This window comes from Homo sapiens, chromosome 1 (genome assembly GCF_000001405.40).
Source record: "Homo sapiens chromosome 1, GRCh38.p14 Primary Assembly".
NCBI lineage: Eukaryota > Metazoa > Chordata > Mammalia > Primates > Hominidae > Homo > Homo sapiens.
The window spans coordinates 180,082,217-180,106,929 of record NC_000001.11 but is presented as its reverse complement, the minus strand read 5'-3'; the positions used below and the strand labels follow the sequence as shown (position 1 = coordinate 180,106,929).

The window sequence follows — 24,713 nt, the reverse complement described above, 5'->3', positions numbered from 1 at the left end:
AAGGTTCTGTAATAGGGTCCAAAAAAATCACTACAAAAGCACAGGTTGAGCACAGGTTGGTCTTGGGGTTTTCCTCAGCTCCTGTAAGTACTATAAGTAAGATACAGGTAAAAAAAAAAAAAATCATAAACTGTACTAATCAAAATGTACTATCTAGAAAAAAATAGGTTGAATGACTACTAATTAAATAATACACGAGGCTGGTCGCGGTGATGCATCCCTATAATCCTAGTGATTTGGAAGACCGAGGCAGGAGGATCCCTTGAGCCCAGGAGTCCAAGGCTGCAGTGAGCTACCATCATGCCACTGCACTCCAGCCTGGGTGACAGAACAAGACCTTGTATCTAAAAACAAAAACAAAACCATGAAACATTATAAGGCTAACTCTGAGCACTGTATTTAAAGAGGGACACTGACAGAGCTACAGTTGATGTTGAAGGGACTCAAAACTATATCAGACAACAGGAGACAATACTAATGTTTTATAAGGAGAAAAGACCCGGGTCAAACATGATAGCTATTTCAAAAGGGTGTAGAAAAAATTAAAGTTGTTACGTAAAGCCCCAAAGCTATAGAAGCAAATTGTAATTAATTGTGTGAAAGCCAACTTAGGCTTAATATGAGAAAGACGTAGAGACAGGAGGAACTCAGGAGTGCTGAGTGTCCTTCTCATCAGTTCCCAGGCTATAAAGGAGACTCAATCATTAGCTAGGTGGTCCTACTACAAGATTTGTCATCTTAGGTGCAATTCTACCTACAGTACGGAGATTTTTCAAGGCTACTGTACATAAAGGTTATACAAACGGTGCTCTAATTACTTGCTACTCATTCCACAGCATCTATACTTTGAGAATGTACTGCTAAAAATAGCTCAAATTCTTAGCTAACCTAAGATATAAATTAATCAATGCCTTTGTGAAAGAAAAAGGGGGAGTGAATGAGAACTAGAGGTGAAAGAAAGATTTCTCATTTGGCTAACAGAGGCCTTTATGTCTAAAAAATTATTTGCATTTTATTCACCTCAAATAATGCCTGAAGACACAAATATAGTTAGATTGATTAGGGACATCCTCAGCCCAAGCAACAACTAAAATATACATTTTCTTAAATTGGAAGAAGCAACTGTTTATTATGAAATGTTTAGTAAGATAGTTTATCATGTTACAAATGTTTTAAAAGGGGGTAATTAAGATTTTGATAAAAGAATCACCACAATCAAATGGGATTTATTGCATACACAATCAATAAATATGATACACCACATTAACAAAATGAAGGCTAAAAATCAGAGGATCATTTAAATAAATGCAGAAAAAGCCTTTGATACCCTTTCATGATAAAAACTCTCAACAGATTGGTATAGAGGAAATAATACCTCAGTAGAAAGGCCATGTATGACAAACCCAGAGCTAACATAATTCTCAGAAGTTGTTTTGAACATGTGAAATTTGAGATGTCTAATAGACATCCAAATGGAGATACTGAGTAGGCAAATGGCTATATGCATCTGGAGTCAAGCAAGAGTCCTAGGCTGGAGATATGAATTTGGGAGTGGTGAACATACAGATCGTAGTCAAAGCCATGAGACTGAGAAGGAGTGTAGACAAATAAAGAAGAGGTCCGTGGGCGGATTCCAGGAGCATGCCAACATTTCAAGGTGAGGATGAACCAACAAAGGAGACCAAGGAGCAGCAGCCAGTGAGGGAGCAGAAAGCCAGGTTTCAAGGAAAAGGGAGGGATCAACTGTGTTGAATGCTGCTGATGGGTCAAGTAACACAGGAACTGAGATTTACCACTGGGTTTATTAATCCAAGCAGATTTGGTGGCATGGATGAGGTAAAACCTTGACTGGAGTTTGGTTTCATGAAAGACAGATTAGGGAGTGTAAAAATGGACATATTAAAGGAGTTTTATTGTAAAGGGAAAATTGGAGGGGGAAGTGATGACAAAAGAGTTATTTTAGCTTTAAAGAAATATGAGTTGGTATGCTAATGGAAAAGATTCAGTAGAGAAAATGTATAATGCGGGGGAAGTGACGGCCTATGCTTATTATTAGTCCAAGTGCTTTTGCCTTCAAGAATGCTGTATCAGGTGGCGGATTAAAACTGCTACACCTGAAATAGCTTTAAGTGCAAGGAAAAAGTTACTGTGAATCAATGAAAATAATTATATTAATAATATCTAATATTTTTGAGAGCTCCTTAGATGCCACTTAATACATATTAGATCTTGGTTAATCATCCCAACTCTACGAGGTTGCTACTTTAAAGAGCGGGAGACTGAGAAAGAGAGGTGAGAGAACTCACCCAAAATCACAATGTTAATAAGTGGTAAAGACAAGACTGGACACTTACAAGCTGTTTGATTCCAGAGACCTTGCTCTTAACTGCTTATGCCATTCTCTCCATTTATAAAAGAATCCCCATGAGAGAACTTTGGGGTTTATTACATGCAAAAATACTGAAGGAGGCTCAGGAAGATTCAGAAACTTTTAAAACTAGAGATCCTAAGCAAAATTCCCAATAGTCAAAGCTCTAGAAAAACAATAAAAAAAATCCATTTTATAGGAAAAGGTGACTTCATTTTATCTATAGTATTGGGCTGTCCAAAATATTAACCACTGTCTTCTCCTGCTCTTTTGAACTACAATATCCAAATATTAATTATAGATAAAATTTGAAAAACTCTTGGAATATATCAAAAAACAACAAAAAACAACTCTACAAGAAAACTACAGCTGTCAAGAATCAGTTCCAGCAGAAATGGTAAAGATAATGCCAAAAAAGTCCTCATATAAATATGTAGATGTATTAGATAAAATATAACAAAAATATTTGTATATTTAAAATATATATATTTGTGTATATTTAAAATATATATTTGTATATATTTTGTATATATTTTAAAATATATATTTGTATATATTTTAAAATATATATTTGTATATATTTTAAAATATATATTTGTATATATTTTGTATATATTTTAAAACATATATTTGTATATAAAATATAAATTTGTATATTTAAAAATATAACAAAAGAAATTCTAAGAAAGGAGGGAAAATCCTAAGTAACAAATAGTGATTTAAAAGAGGGGCAAGCGCTATGACTAACTAAGGGAGGAGTTACGAGCCATGGAAAGAGAATTAAGGCCAAAGATGTCTAAAGAAGTTCCATAGAGAATTGGGAAAGCTGGAAGAAGCATCTTTTAAAAGACAATAGCTGAGAATTTTCCAGAACTGAGTAAAGATATGAATCTATAGATTCAATAAGCACAAGGAGTCTAAAGCAGAATAAAAGCAAATCCACATTTAGACATATCCAGAAAAATTACAGAATACACGCACACACACACACAATCTTAAATGGAAAACAGAAAAGACCAATTCCCCATAAAGAACTGTCAGATTTCTCAAAAGCAACGAGAGGTCAGAATGATATAAAAGTTAAAAAAGAAATTACTTAAGCAGATAGGGTAAGGAAGTCCTTGGTAAGGTTTTCCTTTTAATGAAAAGCAGTCCCCAAATGATTTTTTTTTTTCTAACGAAGAGCAGCCTGTAAAATCAAGCTGCAGACACAGACAAACAAGCTGGAAGCTTGCACAAGCGAATGCCGGCAATTGTGCCAATAGAAAAAACTACCTGTGGAATAGGCCTGTTCAAAATGGCAGCTCCATCTTCTCTTCTCTTTGCCACATGCACAGTAAGGAGCAGGCAAGATGGCACTGGCCAAGTAGAAAATCTATTTGCATAATAAGATTAGGGTGGGGTGACCAGCCTTCCCCACACACCAGTAAACATCACACCTGGTGGAACCAATCTGTGGGCCCTATGTAAATCAGATACCACCTCTTAAAGCCTGCCTATAAAATCTGCTGCGGTCCACCGCTTTTCCTTTTTCGGAACACCTCTCTTTCATAAAAGAGAGAGCTGCTCTCCTCTCTCATTTCTTCTGCCTATTAAACTTTCCACTCCTTAACCCACTTCATGTATGTGTGTCTGTGTCGTTAATTTTCTCAGCTCGAGACGACGAACCCTGGGTATTCACCGCAGACAATGATGCTGCTTCAAAATTATAATGAGATATCTTCAAACTGCTTAAGTAAAAAGAGCTATCAACTTAAAATTCTATATACAGCTAAAATATAACTCAAAAGTAAGAGCTGAAATAAAGACATTTTAAAGACTGAGAGTTTACATTAAAGGCCTGAAGTTAATGAAATACTAAGTGTGTACTTTAGGTAGATGCAACCGAGCTCAGAATGAAGGAAAAGGATGCAGAAACAATGCACCTATATTATTTTCTATTCTTTTTTATACTTTAAAAATATTTCATAATTAAACATGTAAAAGACTTAGAAAAATAACCAATAATGGGTGAAAAGTGTAACAAAATCATAGAGCAAAATAAGCTCATTCTTTTAGTAAAAACTTAAAACATGGCTAATAATTCCCATAGCCCTTGTTATAGTCTTGTTAAAATGTGGGGGGTTGGCCAGGTGCGGTGGCTCCCGCCTGTAATCCCAGCACTTTGGGAGGCCGAGACAGGTGGATCACCTGAGGTCAGGAGCTTGAGACCAGCCTGGCCAACATGGTGAAACCCCATCTCTACTAAAAATACAAAAATTAGCCAGGCATGGTGGCATGCGCCTCTAATCCCAGCTACTCCGGAGACTGAGACAGGAGAATTGCTTGAACCCGGGAGGCGGAGGTTGTAGTGAGCCGAGGTGGTGCCACTGCACTCCAGCCTGGGTAACAAAGCGAGACTCTGTCTCAAAAAAAAAAAAAAAAAAATGTCAAGGGTGTTAGGCCTCAGTGGCAGGCCCGCCCTCCTTTCACTCTAATGTTCCCCTACCTTTCTGACTGTGGGTCTTAAGGCCCTCCCATGAGAGGGTCCTACCCAATACCTTGGGGGAAGGAATGCTGATGTCATGAAGCTTTCAGAAAAACCCAAGAGGAAAGAGTTCAGGTAGCTTCTGGATAGCTAAACCTGGAGGTTCCTGGAGGGTGGCAGCCCAGGGAAGGCATGGAAGTTCTGTGCCCCTTTCCCATACTCCACCCTATGCGTCTCTGTATCCTTTGCAATATCCTTCCTAATAAACCAGTAAACCTAAGTAAGTGTTTACTGAGTTCTGTGAGCTACTCCATCAAATTAATTAAACCCAAAGGTGGATCTTGGGAGCCCCAACTTGAAGCTAGTCCATCAGAAGTTCTGGAGGCCTGGACTTGCAACTGGTATGTGTGTGTGGAGGGGGCAGGGGCAGTCTTGGGGACTGAGCACTCACTCTGTGGGATGTGACACTATATCTGGGTAGGGAGTATCAGAACTGATTCAGAGGATACCCAGCTGGTGTCCACTGCTTGGTGTGTGGGGGAAAAGTCCACACACATATGGTCACAGAAGTTTTCTTGTGTGGTGATGATTGTTGTAATGTGAGAGTAGAGGAAGTGGTTTGAGAAAACTTTTACGTGTTATTAAAAAATTGTTTTAAATCTCAATCCCCCTAAAATGTAAAAACATTAGAATCTGCAAATACAAGGTTTACCAAATCTAATTATGGGAGAGGAGACTAGTTCATTTAGCATTTCTTGTTAATAATTAGCTCAAGAAGCTGACAGTATCATTTTGTTAAAAAAAAAAATTAAGAAGAACGAGCTCATGCAAAAAGTTATATAGGTCAGGTCTCTCTGTAGGAAGCTAAAAAATATTTTACAACCAGCAAAGGGGATAGTCACATAATATATACTTTATTATTATTGTTTACCAGTTGCTAAATTGCTTCAATTCTTATGCACAGTACTCCCCTCACCCAAGCTATAATAACCTTACCCCTGCAAAAGAAATATTTTGTTTAGTATTTGAGAATTTCTGATAACTGTTAGAGAGATGTCTGCTTAACTGACCCTGTTTGGCACCTACTGGAAGCCTCTGCTGTCAGGGTACTGATATGGTTTGGCTGTGTCCCCACCTAAATCTCAACTTGAATTGTATCTCCCAGAATTCCCACGTGTGTGGGAGGGACCCAGGGGGAGGTAATTGTATCATGGGAGTCTTTCCCATGCTATTCTCGTGATAGCAATTAAGTCTCACAAGATCTGATGGGTTTATCAGGGGTTTCCACTTTTGCTTCCTCCTCATTTTCTCTTACTGCTGCCATGTATTCATCTTTAAGATCTGAGCTCAAATGTCACTTCCTCAGAGAAGCCTGCCTTGACCATCCTCATTATATCAGCTTCCTGTGGTTTTAACAGCTCCCTATTCTTCCATTTTTATGCATAACTTACACACTTGTGTGTAAACGATATATTAATGGCTGGTTTCTGCCTTCAAACTGGAAATCTATGAAGGTGGGGTCTGTGTCTGTTTTGCTTACTATTGTTAACATCAGTCCTTAATTAGCACAATTTTTGACTCAATGTATATACAGAGGTGATTTATAGGGGATATCATCAATTTAGCTGATAGGTTAGATGAATGCCTCTTAATATGCTTTTTTCTTTAATTCCTAAGAAGTAAAGGAAGTAACAACTTGGAAATTAATAACAATTCAGACTTTAAGACATGATAGAAATAGGAGAACAAATTCACTTTCTTGAGATGTGAAGATCTATGAAGAATTAGTTGATTAAAATCTCGTCTCTTATTTTACTGGGCAAGTCACTTAACATCTTTGAATCTAAATTTCCTCATTTGTAAAACAAAGAATAACATTAGTCCTTCCTACCTCATGTAATTATTGTGAGGATCAAATAAGGCGTAAGACACCTCATTTGTAAAACAAAGGATAACATTAGTTCTTCCTACCTCATGTAATTATCGTGAGGATCAAATAAGGCATAAGACACTGGGCGCGGTGGCTCATGCCTGTAATCCCAGCACTTTGGGAGGCCAAGGCAGGCGGATCACTTGTGGTCAGGAGTTTGAGACCAGCCTGGCCAACATGGCGAAATCCCATCTCTACTAAAAATACAAAAATTAGCTGGACATGGTTGCAGGTGCCTGTAATCCCAGCTACTCGGGAGGTTGAGGCATGAGAATCACTTGAACCTGGGAGGCAGAGGCTGCAGTGAGCAGAGATTGTGCCACCACACTCCAGCCAGGGTGACAGAGCGAGACTGTGTCTCAAAAAAAAAAAAAAAAAAAAAAATCAAATAAGGCATAAGAATGATAAACTATAAAATACTAAGCAAATGTTATCTAGTACAGTTATTACTGAGTAAATGAAACACTAGAGAGGTACATACATGAGAACGGTGATAAATTTAAGTATTACACTTTTTTTCATTATATAAATGTCAATATAGATAAAAGGTCCAGAATTAAAATGTTTAGAGTGAAACCTGAATTTTTCTTTTTTTCTTTTTTGATAAACACTTTCCTAATGTTACAGAAATATATTGCAAAACCAAATAAATCCTATCCAGGGAATGTTCTGGATAATGATAATAGTGATGATGATGAGGTAACAGCTATTATTTACTGAGTTGTATATGAGGAACTATTCTAAGTGCTTTACACATATACTTATTTAATTTTCTTAATAATTTTATCAGGTAAGTACTATTATTGTTACCTTCACTTTGCACAAAAATGTTAGACAAATTTGTCCAAGATTACACATCAAGAGATTTAAACATGGGCAGTCAGGCTCCAGAGTCCACACTGGTCTCTTTTCAATTCACTACCTTAAACTTTGCTTCCATTTGAGTAAATTTCTCAAGTTCTACATAAAATACTATTGATCAAGTTAAATGTTCATCTACTGAGTACAAAAGAAAATAGTTAACAAAACTGAGGGGTAGAAATGCAGCAAGTAAAGGCTTTAAGATTTTAATACCATAGATTTAAGAATAAGTCTATCCCTTTTCCTTTTAGAATCTAACTGCATTCTGAGTTTAAAAGATATGGTCAAAATAAAAACAGTTTGGTTGTATACACTGACCAGGATATGATCCACTCGGTCTCTTTTCTTTCTTCCAAATTTCATCATTTTCTGCCAATCTGTTTTGTGGTTTGGCTCCTTTTTAAGACTGAACAACTTGAGTACTTCACTTGCTATGAAGCTCTGTGGAAACAAGACAAATACACGAAACACAAACAACAGAAATTCCTGAGTTTCATGTGTTTACAATGCAGTAAACAGATTCACGATAAGAATATAATATTTACAATAAAATTATCATACAAATTTCTTCCACTTACAGTTCCACATAGCAATTTGAAGGGAAAAGCATTCCAAATGCTGAGACTTTATTCACTTACGCAACATATAAAAGTAAAACCTAGCTGGGCACGGTGACTCACGTCTGTAATCCCAGCACTCTCTGAAGCCAAGGCAGGAGAATCACTTGAGCCCAGGAGTTTGAGACCAGCCTGAGCAACATAGTGAGAGACCTCATCTCTACAAAAAATATATAAAATTAGCTGGGCATGGTGGTACATGACTGTAGTTCTGGCTACTCAGGAGGGTGAGGTGGGAGAACTGATTGAGCCCAGGAGGTCCAGACTGCAGTGAGCTGAGATTGCACCACTGCACTCCAGCCTAGGTGACAAAGCGAGATCTTATCTAAAAATAACAACAACAACAACAACAACAAAGTAAAACCCACTGATTAATCTGCAAAGAAAAATCACTTTAGAGTTTACTTAAGAACTACCATGCTGGGTGCGGTGGCTCACGCCTGTAATCCCAGCACTTTGAAAGGCCAAGGCGGCGGATCACCTGAGGTCGGGAGTTCGAGACCAGCCTGACCAACATGGAGAAACCCTGTCTCTACTAAAAATACAAAATTAGCTGGGTGAGGTAGCGCATGCCTGTAATCCCAGCTACTCAGGAGGCTGAGGCAGGAGAATCACTTGAATCCAGGAGGCGGAGGTTGCAGTGGGCTGAGATCACGCCATTGTACTCCAGCCTGGGCAACAAGAGTGAAACTCCACCTCAAGAAAAACAAAGAAAAAACAACAACAAAACTACCATTAGCTAACTTCAAGCTGGCAAAACTACTAAAGAAAGCATAAAATAAATCTCTGAATTGGAAAAATCTCAAAGAAATTTTTGGGGACAATGTAATGTGAGAAAAGCAAAAGACTTTGGGATAGTTTATTTTGAAGCACCAAAACTCAAATATGTTAAATTAAAAAATATCAACACTTCAGTATGAGAAGCATAATAATTTTACTACTAACAATATTTGAACTATCACCCTTAAAAACTTTACAAAATGTTATGTCAATATTAAAATTAGTGGGCATTTATTGTATGCTATATTGATGCATGTAGTTTGATTGTTGGTATATATTATATATCTTGTCTTACCTCAACTTAATGTTATTAATAATTTATTTTGTTACTTTTATGGTTGTTCTGTTAAAAAAACAATGTTCTTAACAGGGGAAGGGACACATTTATGAATCAGAATCACCTGGAAAGATTCTCAAAGTACCAACGTGCCCGGAAATTCCATCACTCCCTACCTGTTCACAGACACACATAGCATTCAAGCATTTTCAATTGTGAAAGGGTAGAAGGAATGGAGTATACAATGTGTTTTTAAAAAGCTAGTTACTTTAAGCCAGGGGATGGCCAATTTTTTCTGTAAAAAATCAGACTGTAAATATTTTAGGCTTTGCGGGCCATGTGGTCTTTGTCACAACTATTCAATTCCACTGTTGTAGTTACATGTAGTTGTAACATGTAAACAACTAGGTATGGCTGTGGTCCAACAAAACTTTATTTATAAAAACATACAGGGGCCTGGATTTGGCTTATGGGCCATAGTTTGCCAACCCCTGAGGTAAGCATACATCCCATCTCATAAATATCTGTTGGTGTTCTATAAGTATAAAATATTTTTAAAGGCTTTCTGTGATCAAATAAGTTTGGGAAATACAAGTTTAAAGCTTTGCTACTCAGCGTGGTCCTGGGACCAGCAGGACCAGCAGGACCAGCAGGACCAGCATGACTTGAGAGCTTGTTGGAAATGCAGAATTTCAGGTCCTACTCCAGACCTACTAAATCAGAATCTCCATTTCAACAAGATCCTCAGATCATTCACATGCACATTAAAAGTTGAGAATCACTGCTCTGGAAATATAACCTTTGCCGTAAAGAAACATGTGACTAGGCAGAGCAGATTGCCAGCAATGTGACTTTAAAGTTCATAGTCCTTGTAGCTTCTGGACAAAGGTTTACAAAGGTTTCTTAGATAACAAAATAAATATTTTTACGTATCACATTACTATCCTACATAGTTCAAAACCACATTACCAATTTGAAACCTCCAAAGTCAAAGATAAAGAAGTTAACACCTATGTGTCCAGGGCTGGCATATTGAAAAGACATATATATGACACGTATTCATATGTACTTTTAGAACATTATACCTATCTCTAAAGCCCCCAAAACTTACCTAAAACTCCTATTAGTTGCAATAATTTATCTCCCTAGGTATTTCCTAATTTTTCTTAAATATTATAATTATGTATATAGAGAAAATGACTGGTAAAAGAATTTTTTTTTTTTTTTGCACAAACTTGAGGATTCAGCCCTTTCACTCATTCCAATCCCTCCACTGTTCATGGATTCAGTAAGTCAACAAATCTTTATTGAATACCCACTATGGAACAGGTCCTGAAGACACAAAGGTTAATCATACAGAAGAGCACCTGCTTTTACAACATTTACAGATATGTGTAAATGAACAGCAAGTCAAAAAAGAAGACACTTTATAGTTTGCAGTTTACCTTGATTTCATCAAGGTTATTTGGATTTTTCACTCGTCGGAAATAACTAGAGTTGATTCTACATGGCTTCATCCAGACAGGTTGATTTAAGTTGGGATCCTCAGCAAATATTTCCTCAAAAATCTCTTTTGTTAAATCAAAAACCGCCTTGATAGAGAAAAACAAAACAAAACAAAACAAAATGGCTAAGAATCCAAATTTCAGACAATGGGAGAAAAGTTTAAAAACTAAAATTATCCTTTTATTTCACCTACCTGTTTGTAGACCCTTTTACTAGTGCTTTCTATATCTAGACCTTTACTGGCACAGCCAAGCAGTTTTGTAGGAATACTGATGCTATGAAGATCGTGGCCTAATTCTTTCCATTTCCAAAGTTCTTCTGCTGCATTATGTACAAGAATCTCTACTTCTTCTGCAGTATGGGGGACTGCCAATAATGTTTCACATGGTTGTTGGGTTACTCTTTTAGGTTCTGCCATTAGAGGTACAATGGTTTCTTCTGCCTTATTTTTTTGGATCTTGTGAGAAGAGCTCAAACCAAAGTCTTCATCAAACCAGTCTTGATCATCTCCTAACGCGCTCAGGAACTCCCGGCTGAGTTCAAGTTCAGCAAGTCTCTTAGCAAGTTCTTCCTGCCCACTGGCACCAAATACTGGGCTCTCCTATAGAAATGGAACCATTCAAACAGAGCACCATTTAGGGACCTCATATCATTTTTTTTTAAAAAAAGACAGAGTAAATGCATTATTTATATATCTAATATTTCTCTATAAGTAAGCAGAATAAAAAACAATATGGTGGCTACTAATAAACAATCTAAGAAAAAGTTATCCTGTTCCCTCAATTCTACTTATATAAACCTTGCATATAACTGAATTTTTATAAAATGTTTATTGATTAGGGCTCTCCCCGCTTTTTGTATTATCATTATTCTGTTTCTAAAGAACTGTCTATGGGATATGGAAATGGGATATAAAATTTCTCACCTCTGGTGACCATCTGGCTCAAGTTACTCAAAGTCATTACTTTTGCTCAACTGTCCATGGGCAACATAAACAAGCTGATGGTCTGAGTGCATGTCATAGTGGATCTATTTCATTTTACCAGAATCAACATCACAACTGCTAACCTCTGCAGGCCAACCATGACTGAGTAGATATGTAAACAATTTCACAGGCAAAAAAGAATTGGGTGGTGAGCCACTGGAAAGCTCCATGGAACGAATTTGTTCAGTGAATCTGGAAGGAGATGTAATCTATGGACAGTACAGGGGTTGTCAACTCAGCAGTTTAAATGGATGTTTTAGTTCCCCAAAACCTGCCAGTGCTTGTGACAACCCTATATTGACTACTCATGACATAATAGAGGACAATTACACTTCAGCCAGGAAAAACAGCTACAAGGCCTTTAAAAACCAGTACAGTGATCCTTCTCTAATAAACAACACGTCAAGGGAAAAAAAACCTATCAGGAGTCACAGAATTAAAATGTACTATATAGGCAAGGTAAGTTGCCTTGTTAAAAGTGTCAAAAGGTATACTGATACTTTTTCTAGACGAAATACTCACCGGTCTGGGACACATATCTGGAGAGGAAATCTCTTCTTTTTCATCTTCCAATTCAGAACTTAAGAAGCAACCTGAAATACTTGGCGACTGTTCCTCAACATTTTGGGATAGGTCTTGGGGTGTTACTTTCTTTTGGTCATCACCAAGAAGCTCCTGATTGCTAAGCTGGATTTTCTCATCCCTGGTTTTTTTGATTTGTTGTAGTTGATTGACTGTGTCCTTTACAAAGACTTTTAGTAAACTGTCTGTCAGTAAGCTGATTTTTTCCAGTTGTTGTTTTGACTTTTTTTCCTCATTTAGTGATGACTTCAGCTGGGCTTCCAGTTGGTTTTTTTCTCTTGTTAAAAGATCCAGAAGTGGTGTACAAAGCTTTTCTGAAGCTTCAGCATATAGGTTGTCTTCCTCTTCTGTAAACTGCTGTTGCTTCTCCAATTCTTCGGAAAAGGTATTGTCTAAAGTGTCATCTTCTGCAGCGATGGAAACCTTTTCTGTGGCATCAGAAATGAGGTCTTTGTTTTCCTTTGAAGAAATCTGTGAATCCACTGAAGACTGCTGGTGAACATGGGCTTCAAGTACCCCAGAAATGTCCTGTACATTGTCTGTTTCTATTTTAAGGCTTCTACTTCTATTAACTGAGGCTTCTATATCATTCACACTAGGTAGGGATTTCTCATAAAAATATTCACTGACATCCTTTTCTCTGTCTTTTGGACCCTCTGTATCATTTTGCTCTTGATTATAGCACTGATATCGTTCATCTGAGTAACAGTCTTCATCTTCATTAATGTCTACATAGTCATCAAAGTTTTCTGGAATGTGAGATATTTTTTGAGGAGGAGCAAAAATACCATGCTTTTCTTTGCACTCAAAATATGCAATACCATCATATGTTCCATTGTTATTTCCTTCAGGTTTATCTAACTCCACTCCGGCCCAAAATCCTTTAGCAAAACTAGTCTCACCTTTGAATCGAAGAATTCCTGGCTGAACATTTCCAATCAACACCCTATCACCAATGTGGAAATCAAATAACTCGTCTGCAGTAGGAACTGAAGCCAAGGAAGGGGATTCAGTAACTTGCTGTTCATGCTCCACATCACTGCGCTCCTTACTTTTCATCAGCTCAGTAGGGGACTTGAGTTCCAACAGCCTGTCAGAATGAACATTGCTATGGATAGAAAGGCTTTTCTCACTTAGGCACTCACTGATTTCCTCATTACTACCAAAGCTAGTGGCTCCACTTGTAGAGCTCCTCATTGGCTGTGGCTTATCTCTGCAAGACTGAGAGTCTTTCCTGAGTGACAGCAAAGATGACACCTCAAAATCATCTTTGTACAATTCAGCTGAAATTTCTTTCTTGAAAGAAGACACTTCAAAATCTTCAGAGTATGGTATCTCTTTAGGAGCAAAAAGATGTTCTGACCAAGACAAATCTTTTTCCTTTGTGTTCTTTTGTTCGTGAATGTCTTTTCCTGATTGGATGTTTGGACTATGATTCATATCTTGATCTGACTGTCTCTCTTTCAACATTTCCTCACTTTTATGGAGATTTTCAATAGCTAATCCAACTAGGTCTTTCTGAACATTTTCAGAATCTAAAGGAAGATCTTTCTTTGAAAGAATTTCAGATGAATCTCCCTGTTCTAGGACTAATTTCAGTAAGACATCAGATTTACCTTCTTTAGAAAAGGCATCTTCAATCTTACTCTTCTTCAATTTTGTATACTCTATTTCTTTTATTTCTGATTTTTTACTAGATTCTCCAACCTTGCCATCTGACATATCAAGAATTCTACTAGTGGCATTTAATTCTTTGAGAAGATGTAATGCAGGTACATTTTCTAGAGAATCTCCAGATTCTTCTCTGATTTTCCTTGATGATCTGAGAACTGGAGATGGGGTCTGAAAATCTTCTGTTCGACTGTCCCATTCATTTACTCTCTTTGCATATGCAGATAAAGACCTTTCTGATACTGATCTCTCAGAACCAGACAGTGAAGCATCTTAAAGAAAAAACAAATCACCACATCAAAATTATTTAATCACTATCTTTCAATTTTGTGAACCAAAGTTTAGAGAAAAGCCAAATTTTAGTGAAAAAAACCCCTCTAGTCAATAAATATGACCTGTTTTGGCTACTTTATAAGTTTTTCTTTTAAGAGAATATCATCTGTATCAACATTTAAAATTACTGAAAATTCTAAAGTTTGGAATAATTTCTTAAGCACTGTCTTAACTTATAAAGTGAAGAAAAATGTATCTAAGTTGATGGAACCATTGCTTTGCACATTCATCCTCAAATCATGCAAAAATAGAATTGTATGATGGTTATTACAAACATTTTTCAAACAGGAAACTAGTGAAGGAGAAACAGACTTCCATATATACTTCTAAAAGAATACATTTTCCTAGGAGCTTCAACTAAGCTCTTGAATTAAAAAGAAAATAGATCAACTATTTCTGCAAATATAGCACTTTAAGAGCTAAACGTGCAAAATATGATCAAAGTACAATATAGTGAGCTAACAAACCAAGAGTTAAAAGTTTTAAATTCAAATCGTTTTTTTTTTGTAAGAGCAAGAATCTGCTCTGTCACCTAAGCTGGAGTGCAGTGGTCACAGCTCCCTGTTGCCTTGAACCTGGGCTCAAGCGATCCTTAGCCTCAGCCTCCTAAGTACCTGGGATTATAGGCACGAGCCACTGTGCCTGGCCAAATCTCTATTTGTCACTGATGTTTCTTTGCACCTCAGTTTTATTTTCTCACTGAATTACATTTTTTTTTTTTTTTGAGATAGTGTCTCAATTTGTCACCCAAGCTGGAGTGCAGTGGCTGATCACAACTCGCTGTAGACTCAACTGCTTGGGTGTAAGCGATCTTCCTGCCTCAGCCCTGCAAATAGCTGGGACTATAGGTGTGCACCACCATGCCCAGCTAACTTTGTATGTTTTGTAGAGATGGAGTTTCACCATATTGCCCAGGCTGGTCTCAAACTCCTGAGCTCAAGTGACCTGCCTACTTCAGCCTTTCAAAGTGTGGGGATTATAGGCGTGAGCTGCTGCGCCTAGCCTACATTTTATTTTTAATAATTAACTTTCTTTTGGTTAAACTGAAAAATGTATACAGCTATTTAGCTAAGAAATAGTTAGGCTGAAAATATATATAACCAGATTAAAAATCTGGTTAGGGGAAATTCAGAGATGCAGATGATATACTCAGCTATTTAATCTTTATACTTTGGTTTTTCTCATAAATTTTGGACAATAAAGACTGATTCAGCTGAGTGTGGTGGCTCATGCCCATAATCTCACCACTTTGGCTGAAGTGCTGGTAATGTTCAACCAGGCTGAGGTGGGAGGACTGCGTGAGTCCAAGAGTTCGAGACCAGCCTGGGCAACAACGGTGAGACCCCCCCGTCTCTTAAAAAAAAAAAAAAGATGAGCTGGGCATGGTGGCATGTGCCTGTGATCCTGGTCCTGGCTACTTGGGAGGCTAGGATGGGAGGATTGCTTGAGCCCAGGGGGTCAAGGCTGCAGTAGTAAGCTATGATCATGCCACTGCACTCCAGCTTGGGTGACAGAGTGAGACCCTGTCTCGAACAAAAAAAAAACCCAAAAAACTAAAACAAACAAAAAGGATTCATATAATTTACACATAGCCAATAAATCACTTTAAAATATAAAAGTAACTTTAAAATGTTAAATAATCTACTTAAGAAATTCACTTTTTAATAAAAAAGCTATAGAGGTAGAATTTTGTAGGCCTTTGCATAAATCCTTAGACTATGTAGCTACAAGTTAATTATTTTTTCTAGTTACATACCAACATGTTCAGCAATAGACTCCAGGGATCCTCTGGAACGTTCTGACTCTGTTAGTGATTTCCAATTCTTTGCCGTTTCAGATCTGACGTGTAAAAATTAATGAGCAGAAATAAACATATTACTATAATAACTGGTAACAAAAAGCAGACATTCTTAGACAACTGCTTCTTTCCTCTTCTCTACAGTAGGTATGTCAATCTATGTCACTTTCATCAAGCCTATTTCTTTTTTTTTTTTTTTTTTTTTTTTTGAGACGGAGTCTCGCTCTGTCGCCCAGGCTGGAGTGCAGTGGCGCGATCTCGGCTCACTGCAAGCTCCGCCTCCCGGGTTCACGCCATTCTCCTGCCTCAGCCTCCCGAGTAGCTGGGACTACAGGCGCCCGCCACCACGCCCGGCTAATTTTTTGTATTTTTAGTAGAGGCGGGGTTTCACTGTGTTAGCCAGGATGGTCTCGATCTCCTGATCTCATGATCCGCCCGCCTCTGCCTCCCAAAGGGCTGGGATTACAGGCGTGAGCCACCGCGCCCGGCCTCATCAAGCCTATTTCTAACTCTCATCACTCTCACTAGATGACCTTGCCTTTGTCACTAGATGACAAAAACAGAGGCCAACAGGCATGAACTTTACCTTCAAACTTTTACATGCAAGTTCATCCATATTCACAGCCATCCTAACTGCCTTTCCTCCTGTCTGCAGGAAGAAAATTTGTCTCTCTCTTATTTGTTCAAAGCTATTTGCTCAAACCACCCCATATTACTGTCCTCTCTTATTCTTTATAGATAACAGAAGAGGCTACATTCACTCTATTTTCTTGACTTCATTTGCTAAACTGTAATACTTGGCTTTCACGTCCTACCTTTTTACAATGCCCTAAAATGTTGCTATTTTATCATCTTGAGTACCTGGCTCCCATTTATTCTCTCTGAATGCTATCTCCTCTGGGTGATTTATGGCTTCAACCACTATATATGTGCTTATCCTCCTCATATTTCTAACCCTGATAACTTTCCTCACGGTTTCACTTAAACAACAGGCACTTAAAATTAACACTTAAAACCAAAATCATAAGCCTCCCACAGAAAACCACCTTTTCCATTTAAATTAATGAAACCTTGACCCAATCAACTACCTAAGAGAAACCCGGGAGTCATCTTAGACTTGCTACCCCATCTAGCACTTTAACTTATCAAGTTTACTTTTTTTTTTTTTTTTTGAGATGGAGTCTTGCTCTGTTGCCCAGGCTGGGGTGCAATGGCGTGATCTCGGCTCACTGCAACCTCCACCTCCCGGGTTCAAGCGATGCTCCTGCCTCAGCCTCCTGAGTAGCTGGGATTACAGTCGCACACCACCATGCCCAGCTAATTTTTCTAGTTTTAGTAGAGATGGGGTTTCACCATGTTGGTCAGGCTAGTCTCGAACTCCTGACTTGTGATCCACCTGCCTCAGTCTCCCAAAGTGATGGGATTACAGGCGTGAGCCACCGTGCCTGGCTCAAGTCTACTTTTTAATCCTTCACTATCCTAAAATATGTCTCCTGTTTTCTATTCTTCTTACTACTGCTTACTTGAGGTCTGGCTTAGACTATTTTTCTTCCTGCTTCTAAGCTTACTCTTTTCTATCTTTCCTCTGTATTGTGGTCAGAAAGATCTCTGTAAACACAAACATGACTGTGTCACTCTCTGGTTAAAATCCTTCAGTAGCTTAAGAAAATTACAAACCCATTCAATAGCATATCATGTAGAAATTAAAATGTACACTTCATAATATAATGGAAAAATACATATGTAACAAAAACACACACACAAAATCTGAGCATAAAAAATCCTGGAAGGAAACATATCTAATTGTTGACATTTGCTATTGTGGGATAGTTGGGTATGATATGATTTAAACTTTTTTCTTTTTACTGCTTCCCTAGAAATAGTAACAATAATAATAATAATAGCAGCAGCTAATACACAATGCTTACTGTGTCCTAAGCCCTGTTAAGTCTTTTAACCCTCATAACATGTGTATTAACCAGGTATTATTCTTACCTTTATAAATCCCTATTAAAAAACTGAAGCACAGAGCGGTTAAATAACTTGCCCACAGTTACAGAACCAGCTAGAACTGGAGCCAGGATTCAAATTTAGGTAATGCTAAATTAATTGTAATGAGCCTGCCATACCTCTCTAACAAAAATGTCCCAAAATACTTTTTAAAGAAACCTTCAAAGGCTCCACATTTTCTAAAAGGTAAAACACAAACTGCTAAGAATAAATGAGTACAAGGTTTTCACTATTTGGCTTTTGTTTATTTTTCCTTCTGCTAACTCCAGCAATAACCTATTATGTTCAGCTTCTATGATATGCCAATGTTTTTTTTTTTTTTTGCTTTTAGTCATTCATGAATAACATTTTCTGAAATGACCCCTATTTCTCAATTGAACTGATCTAACCTTTACTTTTTGTTCAAAATTTAAATATGATAACCTGACTTCCTAATACACAATATTATATATTCTAATGTTGCAACTTAGTATCTTCTGTATTTGCTTACTGACTGCATACTATTACATCGCTTGCAGAGAACCGTCATTTACTGAGCTATTCATCCATTTTTGGCCATAAAAATTGTTTCCAATGTTTTATGAATATAAAGAATATAACGAATGTTATTATAAATATATTCATGCAAATAGAGATTTTCAGTACCCCACATTTTCTCAATTTAGACTTCCAGAAATAGGATTACTGGGTCAAAGGTTACAGACTTATTTTTGACTTCTGAAACATAGCCAAACTGTTTTTTTCAAAGGTCTACATCAACTTATGCTACTACTAGCAATGTTGGAAACTACCATTTTCATTGTACCCATCAGACTGCAGGATTAAAAATGTATTTTAAAATCAATACCTTATACATATAATTTTTAATTATAATATGTAACAATTTTAATTTACTGACACTAAAAATAGAAAATAATATTTTTACTTCTGTAATTTCAGTTACTTAAAGGGTAACTTCTACTGAAAATATTCCCTTATTCCTTTTTCAAACAAGGCAGAATACAGACAAGTTATCAAAAATTTCTACCTGTGTAGTGGTGTGAGGGGTTTGATCTTGGGTTTTTCAGAAGCTGAGGAGAGCGTTTTAATCTGAGGCTTGGCTGTTGGTGATGTTTCCAAATCTTGGCTAAGCTCGGCTTCAGTTTTCTTAATAAATTCATCATATGACTAAGTTTAGAAAAACCAGAGGAGTCACTAGGCAGAATTTTTAAAACTTATTTTAAATTATAAAATAGTATATTTTAAGGTAAAATGCTCAAACAGTAAAGAAGATGTAATATAAAAATCTCCCTCCCTGCCCCCCTCAGCATCATTCTCCAGAACTCTATAGTTATTTGTACATCCTTCTCAAAATAATCTATATATAAGCAAGATATATAATTGTAATTCCAGTATCAATTAAGAAATGACATTGCGAATCTACAGAAGTTTAATACTATGAAGCAATAATTCATACCTTGCCACATTAAAAAACTTCTTTGTATTCTCTAAAGAGTGTACTATTACTTTCATGGTATCTTTAAGAAGTTAGTCATTCTGTTCTGAGTTTCAATAGCAGTAAGTTTCTTATGGGCTAAGTACTTAGGGATACAAATTATGAAAAGAGAAAGATATAGTTGACAGTATGATAGTTGAGAATTACAAAAAAAAAGTTTCCTGGTTATTACCCATTCTGTAAACAAAACTTTACTAATTTATAATTTGTATGAAATATAAGGGGATTCCTCCATTTAATATATCATTCCTTAGTTTTCTGGGCTGAAGTCCTTACTTTTACAGCTCTCACTATTTCAGACTAGTGTTTTGTTCAACACTGTATGTCTGGTACGCAATGTCCTATTCACAATGCCTGGTCCAAAGTAGCCTATCAATAAATATTTATAAAATGAACTAATGGATGGATGGATGCTTGTCAACTGCTACGGTTCCCTAAAATCTGGACTGAAATCACTGTTTTACAACTCTCATCATCCATGTTACCTTCGTCTGAATTGTCAACATTTTTTGTTAAAATAACTCCTGGTATTAAACCTACACCACAGCTAGGTGTTCTAGCTCAATAGGTATATATGAGGACTATGACTACTAAGATCTGAAAGCTATACATATATGAGTGCAGTCCATTTATTAAATCTGTGATCAAATAAAATCCAATAGATTTTTATATGAACTGCTATGTATTTTATATATATATATATATATATGCATATCTCATATACTGTAATTTTAAAAGTTAAATACAGAATTTTCTTTTGTCTTTGTTTATGCCATTAAGTAGAATGCTGGAAGAGATGGATCGTATGGCACTCTCTAGAGGGCTCTTTTCTGACTGACATAGCTATTAAGGTACATTTTTGAGCAATACTATTCATTCTAATAGTACTTTATCTCCAACAGTTATTTCAATGACTCCTCATTAGTTGACGTATAAGATGAAATCCAAACTCATCAGTTTGACTTCTACGGTCCTGAATATAATCTGTATTTTTAAATTTTGTTTCCACTTCTTTCCAGCATGAACTCCTCAGTATGGTCATTGTATCTTAATCACTTTTCCTACTCTAACCATTGTGCAAGTTACAATCCCTATTCCATCTCTGTATTGTGTACCTGTTTAAATGTTTATTTTCTCCAGATCTATTAACAGGCCTATTTTCTGTGTGGAAGACAATACAATGGTAAAGCCACAGAATTTAAAATTAGAGCTAGATTAAAATCCTAGTTTCACCATTTATGAGCTCTGTATCCTTGGATAAATCATTAATCTCACTGAAACTCAGTTTCCTTATCTATAAAACAGGGATAATAATACTCACACCTTGTTGTGAGGATTAAATGAAAAATATGTGTAATTAGCTGAGCTCCTGGCACATAAATAGGCATTTGAATATTTGATGATTAAATTAATAACAGTAGGAGAAGCATGTGTTTGCTGTTACACAACAAGGACCAATGGGTGGAAATTAAAAGGACAGAAATTTTGGCTAAATACAACAAAGAGCTCTTCTAATACTTAGAGCACTTAGAGTCTAACAAGGAAACCAATTAGCTTGAAATTTTGAAAATTCCTATTACTGGAAGTGTTCAGGTAGAAGTTGAATGATGTTCTCTGGTGATGAGATGAGAAGGGATTCTTGCAATGAGTAGGAGATTCAATCTGATTCTACAATGAATGTCCTGTTCTAGGAACACCGGGCTGGCAGAATGTGTGTAATAGAGAAACAGAATGTGTGTAACAGAGAAGCAGAATGTGTGTAATAGAAAAGCAGTATGAGGCAGAACATCTAAGAGACTACGCAGACAGTAGAGGCAAGAGGTCATAAGGGCCCCAGCTAGCCTGGAAGCAGTAGGAATGGAAAGGGACAAACAAGAAACTTTATAGAAGAATCCATGAGAACTAGTGACTGAATTGGACAGGAAAGAACAGAATAAGGAAGACATCAAAATCAGGTTCCCAGCCTGGGACAGACTCAGAAAGGCTGCTACGGCTTGGGGGAAAATTCAAGTTAAGAGTTATCAATTAGAAGCTATTCAAATAGCACAAAGAAGTGTACTATTTAATAGGTTGTGTGGCATGAAACACCATTCTGTGAAATAAGGGAAGGGAAGGGGAAAGGGGAAGGGAAAGGGAAAGGGGAAAGGGGAAGGGGAAGGAGGAAAGAAAAGGAGAAAAAAAGGGGACAGGGAAGAGGGAAGGAAGAGGAAAGAGGAAAGGGGGAAGGGAAGCAGCAACAATTCCAAAAGCTAAAATTATTTATCTAATACTTCTCTGCTTACAAGGGTATAGACACCAATCTTTCTTTCAAAGGCCTAATCTTTCTTATTTAGAAAAAAAAAATCTAATACTTTATTTTAATATTTATTTTTTAGAGGTGGAGGTCTTGCTATGTTGCCCAGGCTGGAATGCAGTGGCTATTCACAGGTGCAATCATGGTGCACTACAGCCTCAAACTCCTGGCTTCAAGCAATTCTGCCTCAGCCTCCTGAGTATCTGGGACTTCAGGAACACACCACTATATGTAGCCAATTTTAATATTTAATACTTGTTATTTTAATATTTAAATTTAAAATTTAATGTTTTGGCTGGGCGCAGTGGCTCACACCTGTAATCCTAGCACTTTGGGAGGCCGAGGCAGGGGGATCACGAGGTCAGGAGATCGAGACCATCCTCGCTAACACAGTGAAACACTGTCTCTACTAAATATACAAAAAATTAGCCGGGCGTAGTGGCGGACGCCTGTAGTCCCAGCTACTCAGGGGGCTGAGGCAGGAGAATGGCGTGAACCCAGGGGGCGGATCTTGCAGTGAGCAGAGATCGCGCCACTGCACTCCAGCCTAGGCGACAGAGCGAGATTCCATCTCAAAAATAAATAAATAAAATAAAATTTAATGTTTTAAGCAAGAATGTCCTTGGATACCCTCAGATTTTTTTTAAGAGAATAAAATGTGGCACCACACTAATAATGAAGAATCCTAATCCATTACTTTATTAACAACATTAAAAACATTTTAGACGTCACATACACATTAGCCTTGATACTAAACCCCCTTCTTCCTATGTCTAACCTCTAACTGCTTGATCAGACTGGCTTCTTGGGCTTTCAGTCTTTCCTTTTGCCTTTTTTTCTGTTCCTTCTTCAGCTGGTTCACAACTGATTTTCTTTTCCGCAACTCATCCTTCAGAGCTCTGATCCTACCTTCAATATCACTCTGGTCAGATGTAGTTTCTGAAAGAGATACAAAATCTTTTATTTATAATTTTGACTTAAGAATAATGTTAACTCAGTAACTACTAATAAAAAGCTGTAATGTAATATTCCATTTAAATAAAGCCAATCTAATAATTAAAATATGAGCTTCGGAAGAAGATTTATTACTAAAATGTATCCCTATAATTCCCACCCTCCCCGCCGCCCGCCACATACACTTTATTTTTGGCTTGGTTCCTCCTATTTATTTTCACTTTCTAATTGTACTACTTGAAATTATAAATAAATCTTGAGATACGCTGTCTTGGTAAGACATGCAGCTGGAAGTTGAGAAATTTTTAGATTGATGAAATTTGGATATTCTGCAAGAAATTACTTCTGGTAACAAGATAATCATATTTAACTGTCTTTTGCCTTAGTTATTAATACATAATTTAATAGTTTTTAAGTCATATTAAAATCAAACTAGAGTTTTACCACTTCAAATTGCTTGTGATTCATTCCCTGATGGCTTAATACCACATTAAAAAGAGAGAAGTTATAAAGAAATAGACTCTGCTGTAATCTCTCTTTGAAAGCTCTCAAAATATTTAAAATAACTGAAATGAAGCTAGTTAAATCTTTTCTCTCCAACAGTTCACATACACAAGACGTCTACTCATAGCAACATCATGAAAAAGATATTTCATTATAATGTGTCATACACATGCTATGAAAACAAACAGGTATCATTTAAAGACACTGCTTATTTCACTACACATGGAAATTACATAGGATAGAAATTACTGTTCCTCACACCTCCCTCAATCACACAATGGTGTCATTTCCATATACTAATGTTGAGTGAGACATTTAATAGTCTTACAACAGAAATAATATACACAAATCTTAAGACTTAACATCACATCAAAAACCAGGATTTTATCAGTTACTTCAGATTAAACCGTGTAAGAGCTAGTTATGGAAGTTATTTAAATGCAAAAAGATTACAGTCTTTTTAATAGTGTGGTCTAAATGTCTGAATAAGAAATAATAAAATCTGAGTTCCTGTCACTTCTATGACACTGAGTTAAGACATACTAGGAAAGTTAGGCTTGTTTTATATTAGTGGTGGCATCATACTGAGTCCTTAGCATAGGCAAGGCTCAATATTTACTTATGTGCTTCCAAAATTATTATTATTTTGGTAAGATTTTGTACACCACTACACTCTTACAGGCTTAGTTTCAATTTTGCCCCCAAAATAACTATTTTAAATTAATATTTTTAAAAATTGTATATGCCAGCAGTGATTTTCAATAAAAAATATATTTACCATCTATGGTTGAAGATTTAATAGCAGGTGATGAAAAACCTGGGGTTTTTAGATGAAAGACCTTGGAAAATGTTTATGTTTTTAAGTACTAAAGAAACCAAATGCAGTCCGGGCGCACTGGTTCGTGCCTGTAATCCCAGCATTTTGGTAGGCAAAGGTGGGCAGACTGCTTGAGGTCAGGAGTTTGAGACTACCCTGGGCAGCATGGCAAAACCCCATCTCTACCAAAAATACAAAAATTAGCCAGGTGTGGCAGCATGCGCCTGTAGTCCCAGCTACTCAGGAGGCTGAGGCGGGAGTTTCTGATTATTTGACACACACTGATTATATTAGCTTGGTTGATAAACTCTCCCATCATTTAAGTAAAGGTATTATAACTCTACTACATTAATATCTACCACTTCTACAAATACTGAATATAAATAATGTCATCTTGAATAGGTAGTGAATCTGTAGTTTAGAAACCTCAGAGCTACTTTTCTAAAACCATTTATTCTTACTTAA

The 24,713-nt window shown here is 36.8% G+C and overlaps 1 protein-coding gene across 27 annotated transcripts in view; it reads right to left on the bottom strand.

Annotated features, from left to right (window-relative positions):
* The window catches only part of CEP350 (centrosomal protein 350), a 160,066-nt gene that overhangs the window by 7,946 nt on the left and 127,407 nt on the right, over positions 1 to 24,713 (bottom strand). For all 27 annotated transcript variants that reach the window (NM_014810.5, XM_047435442.1, XM_047435459.1 and 24 more), the window contains 7 exons: positions 22,752 to 22,912; positions 19,213 to 19,352; positions 16,134 to 16,216; positions 12,314 to 14,316; positions 11,000 to 11,407; positions 10,746 to 10,892; positions 7,945 to 8,067 (listed from right to left, as the gene is read on the bottom strand). In NM_014810.5, coding sequence (NP_055625.4) covers positions 7,945 to 8,067; positions 10,746 to 10,892; positions 11,000 to 11,407; positions 12,314 to 14,316; positions 16,134 to 16,216; positions 19,213 to 19,352; positions 22,752 to 22,912 — 3,065 coding nt within the window. The remainder of the gene's footprint in view (positions 1 to 7,944; positions 8,068 to 10,745; positions 10,893 to 10,999; positions 11,408 to 12,313; positions 14,317 to 16,133; positions 16,217 to 19,212; positions 19,353 to 22,751; positions 22,913 to 24,713) is intronic.